This window comes from Homo sapiens, chromosome 10, assembly GCF_000001405.40.
Source record: "Homo sapiens chromosome 10, GRCh38.p14 Primary Assembly".
NCBI classification, from domain to species: Eukaryota; Metazoa; Chordata; class Mammalia; order Primates; family Hominidae; genus Homo; species Homo sapiens.
This window is the reverse complement of record NC_000010.11, coordinates 38,203,844-38,214,565: the sequence shown is the minus strand read 5'-3', so window position 1 is coordinate 38,214,565 and position 10,722 is coordinate 38,203,844. Positions and strand designations below refer to the sequence as shown.

At 38.2% G+C, this 10,722-nt stretch overlaps 1 pseudogene across 1 annotated transcript in view; it reads right to left on the bottom strand.

Moving 5' to 3' along the window:
* Positions 1-220: 220 nt before the first annotated feature.
* Positions 221-10,722, bottom strand: part of CCNYL4 (cyclin Y like 4 (pseudogene)) — a 38,675-nt pseudogene continuing 28,173 nt past the window's right edge. Inside the window, exons 6-7 of the transcript NR_024524.1 lie at positions 3,753-3,915; positions 221-2,259 (exon numbers count right to left, since the gene is read on the bottom strand). The product of NR_024524.1 is annotated as a cyclin Y like 4 (pseudogene) (transcript). The remainder of the gene's footprint in view (positions 2,260-3,752; positions 3,916-10,722) is intronic.

Below are 10,722 nucleotides of genomic sequence, written 5' to 3'. Positions count from 1 at the left end.
CAGAGCTAGACTGCATCTCAAAAAAAAAAAAAAAAAAAAGAGAAAACAAGTATTACATCTTAAATACAGGCATGGATTAAACCAACTTGTGTATGGTCACGGCAACTTACAAAAATGCTTTAAGCCATATCAGTACTGATTTAAACCATTTAAGTTAGGCAGAGATGCAACACTATGTGAATAGAAGTGTTATAAACACACTCACCACATTTTAATTAAATAATTTACTAGGTTTTCTTTTAATATAAACATGAGAAATGAAAACCACATCAGTTGTAGCATTTATCTTTTGAAAATAAAACTGCAATCAATACTTCAATCTCTAAGCTCTGCATTCCATAAGTGATACTTTTTCAGGAGGTAGGGTTCCTAAGGTTTATGGAAGTTCTTTTTAAATAGCAGGACATGAAATATGATACCTGCACTCAGGCTAACATGTGGGATAATAAAATGTATTACATCACCTACTACTATTGGGGTCCAATTCCTTCTAATTCGTTACATGTGAATTAACACAGATCCTCCTCTTTATCACATCTAGGGAAAATAATTTGAGGTGATCATTGCAGATAAAAGCCTTGCAAAGAGCTACTTTACAAGAGAAAAGGGCACTTTGTAAAAACACAAGAATTCCAAAAGTCTTAGTGTAATTTTAAGCTTTGATCCTTGTAAAAGTAACAATGCTAGAAATATTTACAAAACATAATTGAAAAGCTTGTTGTATTTCTTTTACGTTTATTTAGTTTTGCCATTTTTTAAGGTGACACGGTCTCATTAAGTTGCCAAGGCTGGAGTGCAATGGCTATTTACAGGCACAATCACAGTGCACTGCAGCCTCCAAGGTTAGGCCTCAAGTGATCCTCCCATTTAAGCCTCGTGAGTAGCTGGGACTACAAGCATGCCTAGCTCCTGAATATTAAGCTTTTAATTTTTTGTTTCAGTCCTTCTTGAAGATAGCAGATATTGACTGAAACAAAAAGTTAAAAGCTTAACATTCAAATTCTGTAAAATAAAGCCAGAGGTGGTGGTACACACCTATGGTCCCAGTTACCTGGTAGGCTGACATGGGAAGATTGCTTGAGGCCAGGATTTTCAGGCTGTGGTGCGTTATGATTGTGTCTCTGATTACTCATTGCACTGTAGCTTGGGCAATATAGCGAGGCACCATCTGTTAAAAAGAAGAAATACAATTACACTTTCAAATGATATTTTGTAAAGATTTACAGCATGTATACATATGCTGCAGTCCTCTGGAGGGCCCAGGCACACTATATTAAAGCTAAAAACTGCCCTGAAAGTTTCAGGGTACCTCATATTTTATTATTTTTATATAACCACTGGACCACCATTCTGCTTGGCACTGTGAAAACATCTTTGAACACATTTACTTAACAATAAGAAACTTTATCAGCAAATGAGAACCATTATAGTTCACAAGAAATACACTATAGACCTTCATAAAAGTAGATAATCAATAACCAATACTTTCTCTTTTTATGACCCTAAACATGCTAAACTGCTAATAAGAAGGGCTTACAAAGGATATGAATGGCAAATGCTGTCTGGCAGCTTTTGCTTGATGATCGCCAGTAACTAGTAGCTTCCATGGTAAAAGTAGGAAGGAAGAGCCCTTCCATACCTGACAATGTTGGGTCTGCTCCTAGTGGCTTTAGGAATTGTTAGACTCCCATGTTTTAACAGTGATACTGCACTGATTCCAAATGTGTATGCAGCAATATTGGGGAAAAGAGAAAACATAAAAGAAACAGAAAAGTTATCTTTAAAATCTAAAAAGTTAAACTATTGTTTTAAAAGCCTTACGTAGTTCACAGCTATCAGTCCACATACTAAGCAAATATCTGTGTGTGGGTAGAAGGAGTCTTCACTTTGGAGTGGTTTTTATAACTCTGTTTACATTAAATGGGACAGAAGAATGTAAGAGTGTGTTGTTGCCCTGACAAGGTCCCATTCTTTACTATGAAGTGCCATTTAGTTGTCCTTGAGTTAACTTGAATTGAGGTGTTTCTTCTTTTGAAAATATCAACTTTTCTAGTTCTTTAGCAGGAGAGGTGATATTTTCCTGCCTTTTTTGATGAGAGGTTCAGATCACATCAAAATGAGGGTTTACACTACCCTTCTTTTCTTCCTTCAGAAGAGGATGGCCTTAGCACGCTGAAAATGAATTAAATCATCAGCACTCAAAGACCTGTTCTTGGCAGCACTATAGAAAACTTTGTCTTGTTCCATCCTTGAAAAAGCCTAAGAATGTCAAATAGAAAAGAGGTACAATTTTAAAAAGGGTTCCAACCTTTTAACTATCACCACTGATGACAAGCCATGCATGCAAACTCCTTCAGATAGCTCAGTTACAGCTACCTTTTTTTTTTTTTTTGAGAAGGACTCTTGCTCTGTCACCCAGGCTGAAGTGCAATGGCACAATCTTGGCTCACTGCAACCTCCGCCTCCCAGGTTCAAGCAATTCTCTGCCTCAGCCTCCCGAGTAGCTGGGATTATAGGTGCCAGCTAATTTTCATATTTTTAGTAACAACGGGGTTTCACCAGCTTGGCCAGGCTGGTCTTGAACTCCTCACATCATGATCCACCCGCCGCGGCCTCCCAAAGTGTTGGAATTACAGGCATGAGTCACAGTGCCTGGCCCAGTTATAGCTACTTGGCTGAGGTTTACACCGCCAAGTTCTGTCAACTCGCTAAGATAATCTCCTTTCAGGGCTAGAATTAGATTGCTGGAGCAAAGGGGAACTTGTTTTATTAAGTTACTTAAAAATTGGGCACCCAAAGATGTCACAGTATTGTGACAGGCTTCTAAGAGCAGTATCATCTGTTACCTGTGTACTTGTTCCTTAAGCATAATGAATGTACACTTTTGCAAAAAGTTAGTTTATTAATCTATTCAAACTCTACCCAATCTATAGTAGTTATTATATACTCAAAGCAAATTTTAATGATGCAGGCATGTGCTGGATTGTATTGGAACATCAAAGAAGTCTAATGACTAAAGCATCAAAAGGCACTACTTCACTTGCACATTAATTATGATAGAAAATGTATTATTTTAAAATACTTCCAAGGTACCACAGAACATGCCTATTTTAAATGCTCGTCCTTGTCAGCTGTAACTTTGCTGTGTACTTACCAAAAGTCACAAGCCATAAATATTACTTTGTCCCATAAAAGTTATTTCCAGTAAAATCCCATGTACTTTCTGCATCCAGTACTTGAGACACACACACCTTATACAGTCTAAGTGCAGGTCTCTTGGCTTAGGCACTAATGCTTTTTCTAACAAACCCATGGGACTGACTGCACTGTGGTATATACAGTAGAAAATGACATAAATTTGCAAACTGAATAATAAAAAATAGTCAAGAGTGGTAAGTGCATTATGTATGTAGACATTGCTCAGAATACAATAACAAGAAATCATTTACATATGATTATTTGAAAGGGTAAAGGTTCAAAAAGGAAAGATTACAAATGAATTAAATTTGATTAAAATATTCTGAATTAAGGTCATAAAAGGGAAGATAATAGCTATAATTTTCAAATAATGTGGATCCTTGTAAAAACCATAAAATATACAGGAAATAGAACGCCAAAAAGTAACAAGATCTTCAGTATGTTAGTTAATTTTGAAGCTTTCCATTTTTCTAATCACTGCTTAATATGACCTAGTCACAGATGTTGGCATTGGTGTTTGACTGAAAACCCACTTAGTAACTTCGTAGCCTTACCTCCAGCTTCCATGCTCTTTCTCTGTCAAGAAGATAAACTAGCGAATACAGGCTGTTGTCATGTGCCATGGTTCGAAGATTGAAGTAGAATCTGCTATAAACACTGCCAGTAACGCTGATATTGTAATTAATTAGCTTCAAGAATTCCCTTTCCAACTCATTCCTGGGGAAGGAGAAACACAACAAAACCAACACAGGACAATGTTAGTTCAAAAACATTATTCTCATGTAAAAAATGTGGCAAAGGCATCATGTGCTCTACTTTATTAGAACACATGAAAGAACTCACACTGTACAGAACCCTATCGATCTAAGAAATACAAGAAAGCATGCAACTTTCCCAGTTCTCTTTGAAAACTTAGAAAAACAAAAACAACATGAATGTAAAAACTGTGTTAATAAACTTGATTTTCCCACGTGCTTTCAAAGACATATTCGAATTTAATATGGAGAAAATTGACATAATCTTAAGAAACACAGTAAAGCCTTCAGCTTTTTCATTTCTTTGAAAATATGAAAGGATTCAATGGAGAAAACCCTTATAAATACAAACATCCGTGGTAAGGTCTTCAGTTGTTCCAGTTCCACATGAAGATAAGAACTCATTTCTGAAATAAAACCTATGAATGTATAGAATGTGGAAATGCCTTCATTTACATGATATTTGCTCCAAGATCCATGATAACACACTGTAGAAAGACCTTCTAAATATAAGAAAGCATACTGGATTGGAACCCCAGTAGATTACCAAATACAGAAAAGTTTTCAGTTTTAACAATTTCTTCAACATTTATATGAAAATTTCTCCTACAGGGAAACCCTCTCAGTGTTGTGAAACTGGAGAGCCTGATGCAAACTGATTATGGCATAATCTTTAAAAATGTGCATAAGTAAATGTTATACTACTTATAAATATTTTGTTTCTCAGTGATTCTTCATTTGAAAGGGTCTCTGTCCTTACTTCCACTTCTTTTGTAAGAAAACATTGAAGTCAGAATTTTGTAGATACTCCTTAAACAATATTAAATGAATTTAATAGGCAGTGTTTTTTGTTAAGTCAGTTAATAAAATTTTTTTCTGTTTATTTAAAAATATCACACTGAGCTATTAGGATAGCTCCAAATTCTTTTTTGAAACAAATACAGGCTATGCGGGTGGATTCCTACACTAATGTCCAAAGAGGGCACAGCTGCTTGCAGTCCATTCTGCATCTAGCACCCCAAGTTTGGGTTGAGGAGAAAGGCGACACCCTTCTCTGCCCTCGTGCAGCTGACTCAGGGCTCATTCTTGAGGGTTCTATTGCACAACTCAGACTCCATGCTCACTCCCAAGGCATCACAATAGTGATCAGATGACAGAAATGATGGATGCCATTTATTATCTGTCACTATTACGGTGCAGGAATACTCTTTACACTTCAGATGGTAGAAAGATCAAAGAGAAACACCTTGGCTAGATTAAACCCCTTTTATGACATGCCTTTTGCTAGGATGCTGGCCTTACACAGTGTTTCTCCTGAGTTGGAAATGAAACCCCAAGGTGCTCAGCATCTGTCACCCCTGGCCAGAACAGAATGTGGGGATGAGTTGAATGTACTGAGAGGGGAACAAGCTGGGAGCAGCCCTCTGCCACGTGATTATCCAGCTGTCCTGGCCAAAGATTTTTGTTTGTTTGTTTGTTTGTTTTGAGATAGGGTCTTTCTCTGTCACTCAGACTGAAGTGCAGTGGCATGATCCTAGCCTTTCAAGTAACTGGGACTACAGGTTCATGCTGGGCTATTTTTTTAAAATTCTTTTTGTAGAGACAGGGTCTCACCTGTTGCCCAGGCTGGTGTTAAACTCCTGTGATCAAGTGATACTCCCACCTTGGCCTCCCAAATTGCTGGTATTACAGACATGAGCCACTGTGTCCAGCACTTTGTCAAATGTTTAAATAAATATAGAACTAGAGTAATCTTACCACTTTCATAGTAATCCCTGTAAAGACTTAACTTTATAAAAACAATTAATACCTCAACAACATATTTGGTTTCTTGGTTTTAAAGTTTTATCCATTAGCTAAGTCAACAAATGCTTGATATTCTCTGGTATGGAAAGCAGTTAGGATATAAGCAGATATGTGGTTTTCTCATTTGTTTAACTGAAAACCCCACTGAAACTACTTCTAATATTACTTTCCTATTCATATAACCATAAGACTATAGGAATGTAAATCATATAATGCTTTAATAATCAGCTAATCAGGACTTAATTTACTATAGAAATATATGTACCTCATAATCTCATGTTTTTCCGTAAACATATTTTAAATGTGTAAAATACAGTATTTTATATAATTAACATGTTTATTAATAGAGGCTTAGTTATTGAAGAAAGCCATTATGCCTTACAGGATATGTATCTTCTTAGTTTTTTGTTGTTTTTTAAATGGCTGAATAGCATACCCTTTATAGGCACAGCACATTTTCTGAATAGGAGCTGCTCAGTTTAACTTATATGTATGTGTGTGTATGTGTGTGTGTATGTGTATAAATACATATAAAATCCTCCTAGCTTAGCTCCCACCCGTAAGTGAGAACACGTGATATTTGGTTTTCCATTCCTGAGTTACTTCACTTAGAATAATGGCATCCAGCTCCATTCAAGTTGCTGCAAAGGCCATCATTTTATTCTGTTTTATGGCTCAGCAGTATTCCATGGTGTATATATTCCACACTTTATTTACCCATTCATTGATGGACATTCCACATTTTTGCAATTGCAAATTGTGCTGCTACCAACACGCATGTGCATGTGTCTTTTTCATATGACTTTTGCTTTGGGTAGATACCCAGTGTGAGATTGCTGGATTGAATGGCAGTACTGTTTTCCATAGTGGTTGTACTAGTTTACATTCCTATCAGCAGTGTCAGTGTTCCCTTTTCACCAAGTCCATACCAACATGTATGATTTTTTCAATTTTTAAATTATGGCCATTCTTGCAGGAGTAAGGTGGTATCACACTGTGGTTTTTATTTTCATTTCCCTGAAAATTAGTGACGTTTCTGAAGGAAAATGTATTCTAACAAGACAAACAGATGTTGAAAAGTTTTAAGAAAAATCTGATAAACACTAATTTTTAAATGGTTCAATTCACAGTCCAAAAGAGATCATTACAATCAACAGCAGAGGGACAAGATAAATGTACATTACACACTTTGTTGCAACGTTTTACAGTTTCTGCTCAGAGCATAGATCTGGGTGCTTCTGCATTCACAAACAGCATTGTGTAGAACTGGAGCTGGCTTCTGCCACCACTGCTTCTGGAGCTCACATCTGTGGAAACCTGCACATTTCTCTGGATATTCTCTGACCTTGTAACTAGAACTAGAGCCCCACTGGATTAGCTGAAGGTTTTGAAAACAATTTAGCTGCCTTATAGCAGAGCTAAGTGTTCATAATTACAAATTTTGCTCCCTTCAAGAAACCAGTGTACAGACTGATTACAGTAGTGATTAAGAGCACTTTAGCTTCTGCAACTTTCAAAGTACTTCTATTTTTTTCAAATTCGTTTTCTGTTACATCCTTTGCTAAAATGGCTACTAGCAATATCACCGTGACAACTCAGTTTCTACTATTAGCAAAGCAGTAATTTAGCAGCCATTTCAAAACCAACTGACCATCACTAGTGAGTCTCTTCTTAGTCACAAGAATCCTCAATTCACTTGTAAATATACAATGTAGTAATTCTGAATGAAAGTCTTTAAAAATGTTTTTGGGGTATATTATAGGTGTATATATTTATGTGGTATATAAAATATTTTGATGACTATGACGTGTAATAATCACATCAGGGTAAATGAAGTATCCATCATGCCTCAAGCACATCTTTGTTTTACAAATATTTCAATTACACTCTTTTAGTTACTGTAAAATGTATGATTAAAAATTCTTGAGTGTTGTCACCCTGTTGTGCTATCAAATACTAGATCTTATTTTTTCTTTCTAACTACATGTGTGTACCTATTAACCATTTTACTCCTTATCCCCCATACTACTTTTACCAGCCTCTGCTAACAATTCTCCTACTCTATATCTTCATGAGTTAAATTGTTTGAGGCCAGGCACAGTGGCTCACACCTGTAATCCCAGCACTTTGGGAGGCCGAGGTGGGTGGGTCACAAGGTCAGGAGTTCGAGACCAGCCTGGCCAGCATGGTGAAACCTCATCACTACTAAAAATACAAAAATTAGCTGGGCATAGTGGCACGCGCCTGTAATCCCAGCTACTTGGGAGGCAGAGGTAGGAGAATTGCTTGACCCCAGGAGGCGGAGGTTGCAGTGAGCCGCCGTAGTGCCACTGCACTCCAGCCTGGGTGACAGAGCAAGACTCCATCTCAAAAAACAAACAAACAAACAAAAAACTGTCTTAATTTTTAGCTCCCACAAATAAGTGAGAACATGTGAAATTTGTTTTTCCGTGTGTGTCTGGCTTATTTCACTCAACATTTCCACCCATGTTCTTGCAAATAACAGGATCTCATTCTCTTTTATGGTTGAATAGTACTCCATTGTGTATATGTACCACATTTTCTTTAGCCACTCATCTGTTGATGGAACCTCAGAATGCTTCCAAATCTTGGCTGTTGTGAATAGTGCTGCAATATACATGAGAGTGCAGGTATCTCTCTGTTATACCGATTTCCTTTCTTTTGCATATATACCCAGCACTAGGATTGCTGGATCATATGGTAGTTCTATTTTTAGTTTTGAGGACCTCCAAACATTTCTCCATAGTGGTTGTACTTAAATTACATTCCCACTAACAGTGTATGAGGGTTACCTTTTCTCTATATCCTCACCAGATTTGTTATTGGCTATCTTTAGAATAAAAGCCATTTTAAGTGGGGTGAGATGATCTCTCATTGTAATTTTGATTTGCATTTCTCTGATCAATGATATTGATGTTGAGTATCTTTTCATATACCTATCTGCTATTTGTATGCCCTTCTTAGTTTTGAAACAGGATCTCACTTTGTCAGTCAGGTTGGAGTGCAGTGGCACAATCACAGCACACTGCAGCCTCAACCTCCCAGGCTCAGGTAATTTTTGCACCTAAGCCTCCCAAACAGCTGAAACCACAGGCACGTGTCATCATGCCTGGCTAATGTGTCCTCTTTTGAGAAATGCCTATTCAGATATTTTGCCCATTTTAAAGATCAGATTATTAGATTTTTTTTCTATGGAGTTCTTTGAGCTTCTTAAATATTCTGGTAATTAATCCCTTGTCAGATAGTTTTCAAATAGCTTCCCCCATTCTGTGTGTTGTCTCTTCACTTAGTTGATTGTTTCCTTTGCTGTGCAGAAGCTTTTTAACTTGATGTGACCTAATTTTCCCATTTTTGCTTTGGCTGTCTGTGCTTATGAAATATTCAAGAAATATTTGCTGAGTCCAGTATTCCAGAGAGTTTTCCCAATGTTTTATTTGTTTCATATTTCAGGTCTTAGATTTAAATTTTTTTAATTTTTAATGTTTTAAAAAATAGAGACAGAATCTCACTGGTGTGCCCAGGCTGGTATTGAACTACCAGGCTCAAGCGATTCTTTTATCTCAGCCTACCAAAGTGCTGGGATTACAGGCGTGAGCCACTGCACCCAGCTGAGATTTAAATCTTTAATCCATTTTGATTTGATTTTTGTATGAGGTGAGAAATAGAGGTCTAGTTTCATTCCCCTGCGTATGAATATCCAGTTTTCCCACCACCAATTATTGACGAGACTGTCATTTTCCCATTGTATGTGCTTTGGCACCTTTGCTGAAAATGAGTTCACTGCAGATGTATAAACTGGTTTTTGGGTTTTCTATTCTGTTCCATTGGTTTATGTGTCTGTTTTTATGCCAGTGCCATGCTGTTCTGGTTACTATAGCTATAGAGTATAGTTTGAAATCAGATAATGTGATTCCTCCAGTTTTGTTTGTTTTCTGCTCAGGATAGCTTAGGATATTCTAAGTCTTTTGTAGTTACATATAAATTTTAGAATTCATTTTTTATTTCTATTTCTGTGAAGAATGTCATTGTTTTTTGCAGACTTGTGGAGGTACCACATTGGTGGTTTGAGATCACACCTGAAGGAATTCTTCTGAATTAGCAGACAGGGACTCACTTCCCTTACTTTCCCACAAATGAAGTCTCTCTGTTCTAGGCTGCCTGGAGCTCAGAGAGGAGCAATACAAGCACCCCTGTGGCCACCACCACTGGGACAGCACTAGGTCTAAAGCTGGCACAGCACTGTGGTGGGCCAAGGCCCACTGTAACAACTACCCGCTGCCACCTATTTTGCTCAAGGCCCTGGGGCTCTACAATTAGCAGGTAGTGAAGCCAGCCAGGCTTCTGTCCTTCCTTTAAGTGCAGTAAGTTCCTCTGGTCCCTGGGTGGGTTCAGAGGTGCTGTCTGGGAGCCAGGGCTGGAGTCATAAACCTTAGACATCTACCTGGTGTTCTGCTCTACCATGGCTGAGCTGGCACTGAATCCACTAGGCAAATCCATTCCCACTCTTCCCTCCCCTTTCCCCAGGCAGAGTAGTTTGTCCCCACGTACACCATCAACAGAGTCCCGTGGGGATTACTGTCAGGTCACCAGTGATGCTCACTCAATGCCCAAGCACTTCAGTCAGCTTGTGGTGAATGCTGCCTGGCCTGGAACTCAAACTTCAGGGCAGTGGGCTCCCCTCTGGTCCAGGGTAGGTCCAGAGATGCCATCCAAGAGCCAAGGCCTGAATCAGGGACTCCAACAGCCCACTTGGTACTCCTCTCCACTGTAGCTGAGCTGGTATCTAAGCTCAAGAAAAATCCTCTTAACTCTTCCCTCGGCTTTTCTCAAGCAGAGGGAGTCTCTCCTCACAGCCACCACAGCTGGGAATGTCCTGGGTCACACCTGCAGCAAGCACATCTCTGAGTCTCATTCAAGGGCCATGGCATGTACTACCTGGTCA